We start from the raw sequence: 12,189 nt of genomic DNA on the forward strand, positions 1-12,189 counted from the left end.
TTGTCTTGGCAATGTGGGCTCTTTTTTGGTTCCATATGAACTTTAAAGTAGTTTTTTCCAGTTCTGTGAAGAAAGTCATTGGTAGCTTGATGGGGATGGCATTGAATCTATAAATTACCTTGGGCAGTATAGCCATTTTCATGATATTGATTCTTCCTATCCATGAGCATGTGATATTCTTCCATTTGTTTGTGTCCTCTTTTATTTCCTTGAGCAGTGGTTTGTAGTTCTCCTTGAAGAGGTCCTTCACATCCCTTGTAAGTTGTATTCCTAGGTATTTGATTCTCTTTGTAGCAATTATGAATGGGAGTTCACTCATGAATTGGCTGTCTGTCTGTTATTGGTGTATAAGAATGCTTGTGATTTTTGCACATTAATTTTGTATCCTGAGACTTTGCTGAAGTAGCTTATCAGTTTAAGGAGATTTTGGGCTGAGATGATGGGGTTTTCTAAATATACAATCATGTCATCTGCAAACAGGGATAATTTGACTTCCTCTTTTCCTAATTGAATACGCTTTATTTCTTTCTCTTGCGTGATTGCCCTGGCCAGAAGTTCCAACACTATGTTGAATTAAGTGAGAGAGGGTCTCCTTGTCTTGTGCTGGTTTTCAAAGGGAATGCTTCCAGTTTTTGCCCATTCAGTATGATATTGGCTGTGGGTTTGTCATATATAGCTCTTATTATTTTGAGATACGTTCCATCAATACCTAGTTCATTGAGAGTTTTTAGCATGAAGGGCTATTGAGTTCTGTCAAAGGCCTTTTATGCATCTATTGAGATAATCATGTGATTTTTGTTGTTGGTTCTGTTTATGTGATGGATTACATTTATTCATTTGCATATATTGAACCAGCTTTGCATCCCAGGGATGAAGCCAACTTGATCGTGGTGGATAAGCTTTTTGATGTGCTGCTGGATTCAGTTTGCCAGTATTTTAATGAGGATTTTCGCATCGATGTTCGTCAGTGATATTGGTCTAAAATTCTCTTTTTTTGTTGTGTCTCTGCCAGGCTTTGGCATCTGGATGATGCTGGCCTCATAAAATGAGTTAAGGAGGATTCCCTCTTTTTCTGTTGATTGAAATAGTTTCAGAATGAATGGTACCAGCTCCTCTTTGTACCTCTGGTAGTATTTGGCTGTGAATCTGTGCAGTGCTGGGCTTTTTTTTGGTTGAGAGGCTATTAATTTTTGCCTCAATTTCAGAACCTATTATTGGTCTATTCAGAGATTCAACTTCTTTCTGGTTTAGTCTTGGGAGGGTGTATGTGTCCAGGAATTTATCCATTTCTTCTAGATTTTCTAGTTTATTTGTATAGAGGTGTTTATAGGTGTTTATAGTATTCTCTGATAGTAGTTTGTATTTCTGTGGGATCGGTGGTGAGATCCCCTTTATCATTTTTTATTGTGTCTATTTGATTCTTCTCTCTTTTCTTGTTTATTAATATTGCTAGCAGTCTTATCTATTTTGTTGATCTTTTCAAAAAACGAGCTCCTGGATTCATTGACTTTTTGAAGGGTTTTTTGTGTCTCTATCTCCTTCAGTTCTGCTCTGATCTTATCTATTTCTTGCCTTCTGCTAGCTTTTGAATTTGATTGCTCTTGCTTCTGTAATTCTTTAATTGTGATGTTAGGGTGTCGATTGTAGATCTTTCTTGCTTTCTCTTGTGGGCATTTAGTGCTGTAAATTTCCCTCTACACACTTCCTTAACTATGTCCCAGAGATTCTGGTATGTTGTGTCTTTGTTCTCATTGGTCTCAAATAACATCTTTATTTCTGCCTTCATTTTGTTATTTACTGAGTAGTCATTTAGGAGCAGGTTGTTCAGTTTCCATGTAGTTGAGCAGTTTTGAGTGAGTTTCTTAATCCTGAGTTCTAGTTTGATTGCACTGTGGTCTGAGAGACAGTTTGTTATAATTTCTCATCTTTTACATTTGCTGAGGAGTGTTTTATTTCCAATTATGTGGTCAATTTTAGAATAAGTGCAACGTGGTGTTGAGAAGAATGTATATTCTGTTGATTTGGGGTGGAGAGTTCTGTAGATGTCTGTTAGGTCTGCTTGGTGCAGAGCTGAGTTCAAGTCCTGGATATCCTTGTTAACCTTCTGTCTCGTTGATCTGTCTAATATTGACAGTGGGGTTTTAAAGTCTCCCATTATTATTGTATGGGAGTCTAAGTCTCTTTGTAGGTCTCTAAGGACTTGCTTTATGAATCTGGGTGCTCCTGTATTGGGCGAATATATATTTAGGACAGTTAGTTTTTCTTGTTGAATTGATCCCTTTACCATTATGTAACGGCCTTCTTTGTCTCTTTTGATCTTTGTCAGTTTAAAGTCTGTTTTATCAGAGACTAGGATTGCAACTCCTGTTTTTTTTTTTTTTTTTTTTTGCTTTCCATTTGCTTGGTAGATCTTCCTCCATCCCTTTATTTTGAGCCTCTGTGTGTCTCTGCACGTGAGATGGGTCTCCTGTATACAGCACACTGATGGGTCTTGACTCTTTATGCAATTTGCCAGTCTGTGTCTTTTACTTGGGACATTTAGCCCATTTACATTTAAGGTTAATACTGTTATGTGTGAATCTGATCCTGTCATTATGATGTTAGCTGGTTATTTTGCCTGTTAATTGATGCAGTTTCTTCCTAGCCTTGATAGTCTTTACAATTTGGTATGTTTTTGCAGTGGCTGGTACCAGTTGTTCCTTTCCATGTTTAGTGCTTTCTTCAGGAGCTCTTGTAAGGCAGGCCTGGTGGTGACAAAATCTCTCAGCATTTGTTTGTCTGAAAAGGATTTTATTTCTCCTTCACTTATGAAGTTTAGTTTGGCTGGATATGAAATTCTGGGTTGAAAATTCTTTTCTTTAAGAATGTTGAATATTGGCCCTCACTCTCTTCTGGCTTGTAGGGTTTCTGCCAAGAGATCCGCTGTTAGTCTCATGGGCTTCCCTTGTTGGTGAACTGAACTTTCTCTCTGGCTGCCCTTAACATTTTTTCCTTCATTTCAATCTTGGTGAATCTGACAATCGTGCATCTTGGGATTGTTCTTTTCGAGGAGTATCTTTGTGGTGTTCTCTGTATTTCCTGAATTTGAATGTTGTCTTGTCTTGCTAGGTTGGAGAAGTTCTCCTGGATAATATCCTGAAGAGTGTTTTCTAACTTGGTTCCATTCTCCCCGTCACTTTCAGGTACACCAATCAAATGCAGGTTTGGTCTTTTCACATAGTCCCAGACTTCTTGGAGGCCTTGTTCATTTCTTTTTACTCTTTTTTTCTCTAATCATGTCTTCTCACTTCATTTCATTCATTTGATCTTCAGTCACTGATATCCTTTCTTCCACTTGATCGAATTGGCTATTGAAGCTTGTGCGTGCATCACGAAATTCTCGTGCTGTGTTTTTCAGCTGCATCAGGTCATTTAAGTTCTTCTCTACACTGCTTATTCTATTTAGCCGTTCGCCTGACCTTTTTGCAAGGTTTTTAGCTTCCTTGTGATGGGTTAGAACATGCTCCTTTAGCTCGGAGAAGTTTGTTATTACCGACCTTCTGAACCCTACTTCTGTCAACTCGTCAAACTCATTCTCCATCCGGTTTTGTTCTGTTGGTGGTGAGGAGCTGTGATCCTTAGTTGCAAATGCAGAAATCACCCATCTTCTGCGTTGATCTCTGTGGGAGCTGCAGACTGGAGCTGTTCCTATTTGGCCATCTTGGAAGCGCTCGAGCTGGACAAGTTGTTTTTTAGGTTCCCTGTACACAGTCACCCAAGGACTTCCCTTTAACATCATCCTTGGAATTCCCTCTAATTCTCTTGTATTTTGGATCTCTTTTTGATAATCTTGTGCCTTATTCTTTATTTGATTTTCTCCATTGGAAAGTAGCTATTTGAGAAATTATTTATCAGAGGAAAATTTAAAACTTGCATTCTGAAAGTTTTTGATCTTTATCCTTTTTCATAGTTCAGCTGGCCGTTCATTCAGTTTTAGTGTTTGAGAAGTCTGAAGTCAGTTGAATCCTGATCTTTTGTATGTAGTCCACGTTTTCCTCTGGAAACTTAACACAGAGTGGCCATCAAGTCTGGAATCTTTAGGTGATTATATATGAAATGGTTTACTTATGTTACATTATTATACATGATAAAATAATAATACGTGTGTTTCCATACTTGATGGGCACTCTGTAGAATCATTTTTTGTTCCCAGTGTTCTGAAATTTCATGATGATGGGCCTCACATGGATTGTTTTTCTTTCATTTTGCTAGGTTCTTGTCGAGCTCTTTCAATTTTAGAGACTGGAGTAATTAATTTTTGGGAAATTCTCATTGCTTTGTTTATTCTTTGCACCTTATTCATCTTTCTCTGGACTCCTTTATATGTTGGGACTCCTGGATTGATTTTCTTATCTTTTTCTACTTAGACTCATTTTTATAGTTTAGTTCTACTTTGAGAGATTTACATAAATGTAGCATCCAATCCTTTTACACGTGTTTATTTTAAATTCAAGCTACTCTGCCTTGGAATATTCCTAATCTAAAGGAGAATATACAAAAAAAGTTAACACTAGAATTGTCTGTGTTCCACCCCAGAGAAAATAATGTTGATTGCTCAGAGTAAGGTCATGTGCTACTCAAAAATTACCTCTTTATTTGATTATAGTAGTAATTTAGACTGCATTATACTGAGCCACCCTGTCTCCTGCAATATAATTTAATCAGGGGAAACAGGTCTACTACATTTTTAGGAAGATCTCAGATTTAAAACAGTGACAACATTTAAATTTGAATTAAAATTATTCCTTTGGTAGATTATCTATAGAAAATTTTAAATGAAAATACTTCGAAGCTACCTTTCATTATATGTTCATACAGAATGTAAACACAGTTTAATACTAACCTGAACAATATACATATATATTTTTTCTCCCATATATATGTGGTGTGTATTTATATACCTATATGTGTGTGTGTGTGTGTATATATACCCCATCTCATATATATACACACACACACGCGCACACACACAAATGGCTGTGTGTGTGTGTGTATGTATATATATATGTGTGTGTGTGTCATATATATATATATATATATATATATATATATATATATATATATATAAGAGATGTGGTCTCATTCTGTTACCTAGACTGGAGTGCAGTGGCACAATCATAGCTCACTGCAACCTTGAACTCCTGGGCTCAAGCAATCCTCCTGCCTCAGCCTCCTGAGTATCTGGGACTACAGACACACACCACTGTGCTCGGCTGATATTTAAATTGTTTTGTAGAGATCGAGTCTTGTTTTGTTGCCCAGGCTGGTCTTAAACTCCTGACTTCAAATGATCTTCCTGCTATGGACTGCCAAAGTGCTGGGATTACAGGTGTGAGCTGCTGCACCTGGCCTATCTGAGCAAAATTTAAATAGGAAGGCGAATCCTTTGAAAAGAAATTCGTATGTCTTCAAAGTGAATGTGAATTATTTTTGATTATTTTTCCTTTTGGATTTTCCATGCCACCACACTGGTTCTACTTGCATGGACATTCAGATGTGAGACATTTGTTCCATTTCTAATGTTGTATTTTAATTTTAAAGTTGTTTGGTACTACTGTTTTCTCAGTCTTGAGATAGTCTCTGAGCTAATTGAACTACGGTAGGTGGGTTTTGCTCGTCAAAAATGATGGTGAATCCAAATCAACAGTAACCAAATCTATTTTGCTTATAGCCTTGGGCATACTACAAATACCTACTATCAAAGGGAAAGTAATATTGCTTTGAAGTTTTTCATTTAAGAATATTCAGTACTTTTTGTTTGAAAAAGGAGTTAGCCTTAAAAAGTCTTTTAGCATGAACACATGATATGTAGTACATCTGCCATATGTATTAAAGGTGTGTAATATCAGTTGATGTAAGCATGTTTGAAAAACCTGCTCTGACACTTTAACTTTTCAGATTAGAAAAAGAGTATTTCTCCAAAAATAAGAAACTAAATGAAGACATCGAGGAACAGAAGAAAGTAATTATAGACCTTTCAAAGAGACTCCAGTATAATGAAAAAAGTTGCAGTGAATTACAGGAAGAACTAGTAATGGTAAGGATAAAAAAGAAAACCCTATGGAAATCACTTTATTAGGTCATATTGGATGTATAGCAGGGTTTTTCCTCACCACATTCCATGAGATAATAGTATGCAAGTTATTTTAGTGACATTGATAACAAAATTTCCAAAACTGGAAATGCTGATTACATCAAAGATACACATAATGAAACCTCTCTGATTTGGAATAATTGGGGGAAACTAACTGAACTAGTAAAAACTGAATTATAGAATTTTCAAAAATGTATTCAAATGTTTTTTTTTTATCGTGCATAAAACAGTATTACTTAGATTAAGGGTGATTAGGGTTTGTAATTAATACATCTGATGATTTCAAAGACTTCCTTTTGTAATTGTTTTGTACCTGATCACTCTCTCTCCATTCCCCAGTAATCTAGCTTTTACACCATCACCAAGTTTATCTTTGTAAAATATTGATCTGTTTTTGTTAACCTCTCTTTATTTAAAACTCATCAGCATCTCGATGTCTCCCTGTTGTTTTCAGAATAACGGCCAGCTTCTTGTTGTATAATCTCAGGACCTTTTCCTTTTGTCTTCATATTAACTTTTCTACCCTCTTATTTTGCCTTTGCCCTCTGTCTGTCTTGCTTTAGCCATATTAGAGTGCTCCTTGTTTTCTACACACATCTTTTCTTTTCTTTTTGAAGATGAGGTTTCACTCTGTTGCCCAGGCTAGAGTGCAGTGGTGCAACCCTAGCTCACTGAAATCTGCAGCTCCTGGGCTCAAGCAATCCTCTTGCCTCAGCCCCCCGAGTAGCTGAGACTGCAGATGTGCCACCTTGCTTGGCTAGTTTAAAAATTTTTTTACAGAGATGAGGTCTCGCTATGTTGGCCAGGCTGGCACCAAACAAGTGGCCTCAAGTGGTCCTCCTGTCTTGGCCTCCCAAAGTGCTGGGATTAAGGCATGAAGCACTGCATTGACCTAAACACATCTTTTCATATATTCTTATTTTTATTCAGGTTATTCATTTCTTTTACCTGCAATGACTAAAATGCTCCTTTTCTTTTCCATTAACAGATTTCTTTACATCCTGTGATGCCCAGCTCTGATATCTTGCAATCTGTGAAGCTTTCTGTGATTCTATCTTCTCCACTCTCATCCACCTTAAGTTAAAATTCTGTGCCTCCTCAACAGTATTTCTTTAGTACTTAGTTCAGCATCTTTATCATAATACTCACCGAAATTTGATGTGTATTATGTCTCCCAAGAGGATATGAATGCATTGAGGTTAACTTACTTCATTTTACATACCTAGATTCCACTATAGTACTTGGCTCAATAAACATTTGTTCGATGGATTTATTTGGTTGATGCAGAATCCTCTTCTCAGCAGTTTGCTGGGGACCCCACCATGGAGGGTGTAAAGTTTATGGTAATACTGTATTACTTCTTTGTTTTGTTCTATACATACATACTTTCCTCAGAGGCTTGACTACTTCACTTTCAGTTATATTCCAAAAGTTTTAGTGATTTAGTTATTGAGGACAATGGATATTATTTTCCTCAAAAAAGGTGGACCCTGGGTTATACTAGGAATTGGTCACCAAATCAGTGCTGCCCATATCGAAAGCTAATAATAGGATATAGTTAAAACTCTTCAGTGTTTTTTCAGATGATCCAATATTATATACATTTTCCATTTATCTAAAGATGTTTGCTGTGTTCTGATTCAGGGAACTGATATCATTGCTTGTTCTAGAAATCAGTTTGCAGTTTGGTATTTTGAATGTGATGTTTTAGAAAGTTAAGAGCCCTCTGTGTAGTCTACTGTAGCATCTGTTCACTGTAATGTTATCTTAAATTTCATGGGCTGTTTTAACTCTTACCTCCTAGTTCAGGAGGTTGAATCAGTAGTGGAGAAAAATATATCAGGGTCATTGAGCTGAGTACTGCATTTGGTTCGCTTGCTTATTAGATATTGTACTCAGTAGTTTGGAAAATAAGCCAGGGTTATAACTAAAAATGCAAGAGTTAAGACATAATCACCAATATAGGTTGCATGAATTTTCCTAATTCTGGTTTTCTAGCACTTTAGTGAGTAGATACAAAATAAAATGAGACTGGTTTAACTCACCACAGAGCATATTCATATTTAGTGATTAAAAAATTTTACTTGGTACCAACAGATTTTTTTTTCTAAAACATTTACAGAGTGATATATGGCCTAAAATAATGCAAGTGGCAGCTCACCAGCAACCTTTGTTTTCCTGTTGGGACCGTCTGCACTCGTTGTATTCATTGTATTAACCCATTAAACACTACTGTTTTGATAATGATGCTGAAAATTGTAGGCTAATTGTTTCTTCAAAGCTTGATGGATTGCTAAAAGCAGTTGCAGATCTGTAAATAATCTAATAGTTCCTTGCCGAATGGGATGTTCGAAAAACTTACTCAGGTTGCCAGATTAAGTGATGTACAGTTGATGTGGCTCAGACTGTTAATATGTTCCTCTTAATTTTTTCATCTCTCTTAAACTCATAGCTTTGCGTCTTATTTTCTTCCATCTTCCTCTTCTTTCTTCTTCCCTGTTAGCTTTCTTTTAACTTTTTCTGTTTTATGCTTATTAGAGCTGCTGTTCTCTATTTCTTTACCTGACCATAATATGAAATTTAAGACCTGTTTAATGAAAATGTCTTTAAATAGTAAGTACAATGTTTTTCTTTTTATAAATTACTATTCTGTCACTTTTCCTAAATATATTCTTTTCTTGTACATATTCCTTTATTGACTTTTCTCGGTAGATTAGTGGCCTTTGGGGGAAAGAAGGCTTGCAAAGTTTCTCTTGAAAGATGTTTCTCCCAAATTAAAATTTTAAGCCATAAGAAATGAAGTTTTTCTAGTTCTGCATTCACAGTCTGGCTGTTATTTGTGCTTTCAATTCATAATTGTTGTTGACTGAAGACAGAATGACTTATGAGGAAGATTTTCCCTTTTGCTTTTGGAAACGAAATTGTTTTAATGACATGCCATGATTTTACATACCCTAGTGTGTCTTTTCCACAATTATATTTCTTTTGAGCATAATAGTTTCAGTATTTTACAGACTATGGATGGGAAGCATAAATTACTAACAGGTAATTTTTCTTCCCTTTTGAGGTACCAGATTGTTTTCTAGTTTAGGTCATGTTCATGGTCATTATTTAAATCTTGGTCTTTATTTTCTCTGTTACATTGGAAAAGAAAGTTAAAGTCACTATCCTCTATAGGTTTACTCGTGAGATCAAGGTGTTATTAATAAGATACAAAGACTTGAGCAAATTTTGAGACTTACAAATAACTTTGTATGTGTTAGTACAGCATAGCCTTATGCTGTATCCTGGGCTAGATACAGCAGCAGAGCTGTTAGAGGCTTTAGAGATCATCTAGCCCAGGATACAGAAAGTCTTAATAAACCAGTTGGAAAGTGATAGCTCCCCTGTTTTGAGAGAGATATTATATAAATATAAAACATAATTTTGGAAAAGTCTAAACTGAGTATGTTGTCTTTTGGGGGTATTTAATAAATATAAACCAGCTAAATTTAATTGTACTTTATTTATTTTTAATTGACACAAAATAATTGTATTAATACATATTTATATGGTACACTGTGATGTTTTGATATATACAACATAAAGTGATCAGATGTGGGTAATTACTATCTCAAACATTTATCATTTCTTTTTATTCTAATTATACTTTTATATTAATGAAATTACTTCAATTTATAGATTTAAAAGATATAACTAATAAATTAATGGTATATAATTATTGTTTTGAATGTCATTGAATTAGTAGGTTTTCAACATAGGACATCCAAGGACTTAACAAATTTATTTTCATGTTTACATGAAGATGTGAACACAGAATATGAAACTTGACAGAATTTGACTATAAAAAGTTTTGATTGGAAATTGAGCTTTTAGTTTCAAAATCTATGAATTTAATAATGATTTAATCAACTACTAAATAAAACTGAATTTCTAGTTTAAGATGCTGACTGATCATGCTTATTAAAGTCCATCTGAGGCTCAACAGATCCAGCTGGGTCTTTTAGACATTACTGTGAGTTTTTATATCTGCTTCTCTTGAAGCAGGGGAGCTTTCATTTTCAAATTGGTATTATTAGAACTTGCTCTGTGCTTTCTTCAATGAAATTTTCTTAAGTCCGTCATTTCTTGAGATTTGTTTTCCTGCCACTCAGTAATATTTAGTTACAGCTCTAGGAGAGACTTTATATTGAAAAGGGAATTCTAGTTCTCAGGAGGTTTTGGTCAAAGAATGTTTTATTCTCTAAAGAACTTGTGATTGAAAATGGTCAAGTGTATATTTTTTCCCCAATACTTTTGGGGGTTTAACTGATTATATAATAGTAATGATTGCTAGCATTAAATATGATTTTGGAAAGTGCTTTGATGGTTATGCTTTGTGGTGAAGGTAATATTTCTTGATAATATTTTTACTTCCAATGAACTATTAGGTTTGCTTTAGAAGAACATGTTTCTGATTTTGTAGGAGGTTTTCAAAACTAATGGGCTAATAAATATTCTATTCTGATTTTTTACTAAAAAAAGATTGATTCTTGTTTTTCACCAAGAATAGGAGTAGTATTTATACATGGGCATTGTTTTTGCTAATATAAATATCACTTTCCGTTTCTCTTAGTGGCCCTTAAATTTTAGTTCTAGTAAATAATATTCATCGCGTAAGTGTCTTTGTGTATTTAAATATTCCTTTTAGGAGGCTGACTTCCTAAATTTATGGTATAGGCATAAAGCTTTTGCATTAAGCCTTTTGAAATTTATTTCTATGCAAATTAGTAAATTTTGAAAATCCAAATCTCATTTTTCACCTGGGAAAAATAAAATGGTATTGTGTATGTATGTGTGTGAGAGAGACAGAGAGCAAGAGATTGCGAGAGAGATGTTTATATGTTAAGGCCCATGTTCAGATTGAAAGGTAGCGTCTACTGAAAAATAAACTGATTGTCAAAGCTAAGTAAAGAAGGGTAACATTTCATTATGTGAGATAAGCAAGTGGGGTCATGGAATACTGACATCCGTGGAAGTGGCATAGGTAAACAAGGTGGTAGGGAACTAAGAGACTAGCTATCATTAATATGATTAGGGAAAAGCTGCTGATGGTGATGATAACAAAAGCTACTCAGACCTCCTTAAGCCCATACAAATGCATTGTGCATATAATGGTAACTAGGTACAAGATATGATGAAAAGGTGAGCTGTGAGGGTAAAAGTATGTAATGAAGATTATAGGCTTTGATGCTTCCTCGTTTTTACTTAGAATTTCTTCATAATTGCTTAACATATATTTAAATAAAAAACTTAAAAGTTTTACTTGAGTTCAAAAATGTTCAGAAATTATAAGAACTATATATTAGTTGCAAAAGTTCAACCTATGTTTAAAATGCTTATTTCATTAAAAAAACCCATTGACTAAAGGCTTTTTTTAAACCTGTTTGTTTTTTCTATTATTTTTAACCTTATTAAAATTGGCCTTCATGGTTTTTATTGTTATTTATGACTTGAGTCAACTTTTTCCATAGCAGATCAGCAAGACCCATTTACCAATTTTCAGATATAAATATTTATATATAGTTTTTATATGTTTCTTCAAGGCTCTCAATCGAAATTTTTATTTACGTGCCTTTCTATTTGTGGTACTCATGTTGAGTGAGCAAAAAAGTGAGCATGAGGTTTTGAAGGATCATAAAAAAGAGAAGATGATTATGAAACAAACAAAAAAGAATGACATGTTAGATTAAGCCAGAAATGCATTCAGTTCAGCAGTGTGAGAGGTATAGTATCCCAAGGTGCATATAAAGGTAGTTTGTTATCTCATTTTTCTTTCTGGTTAAAGATATTTTTTAACCAACATTGACTCCTCTTTCATAATACATTAAGATTTGTCAATCACAACATTTTCTGAACTTTCTTTGAATATTTTGATATTTTTAGTCCCCTGTTTACACTGGTTGTAGATTCATCACAGCATTTAAAGTAGTCCGTGGGTCATGTTGGGTGATGAGTAAATGTTCACCTAAACATCATCTGCTTAGCCAACATAGCATTAAGGGACCTTTAATCCT

The 12,189-nt window shown here is 34.8% G+C and overlaps 1 protein-coding gene across 35 annotated transcripts in view; it reads left to right on the forward strand.

The window, feature by feature from the left end:
• The window catches only part of CCDC171 (coiled-coil domain containing 171), a 556,042-nt gene that overhangs the window by 119,936 nt on the left and 423,917 nt on the right, over window positions 1–12,189 (forward strand). For all 35 annotated transcript variants that reach the window (XR_007061261.1, XR_001746227.3, XR_001746228.3 and 32 more), the window contains one exon: window positions 5,938–6,076. Coding sequence is in view for 30 of the 35 variants with exons in the window: in XM_047422930.1 (XP_047278886.1) it covers window positions 5,938–6,076 (139 nt within the window). In the remaining 5 variants the exon portion in view is untranslated. The remainder of the gene's footprint in view (window positions 1–5,937; window positions 6,077–12,189) is intronic.

This window comes from Homo sapiens, chromosome 9 (assembly GCF_000001405.40).
Source record: "Homo sapiens chromosome 9, GRCh38.p14 Primary Assembly".
NCBI lineage: Eukaryota > Metazoa > Chordata > Mammalia > Primates > Hominidae > Homo > Homo sapiens.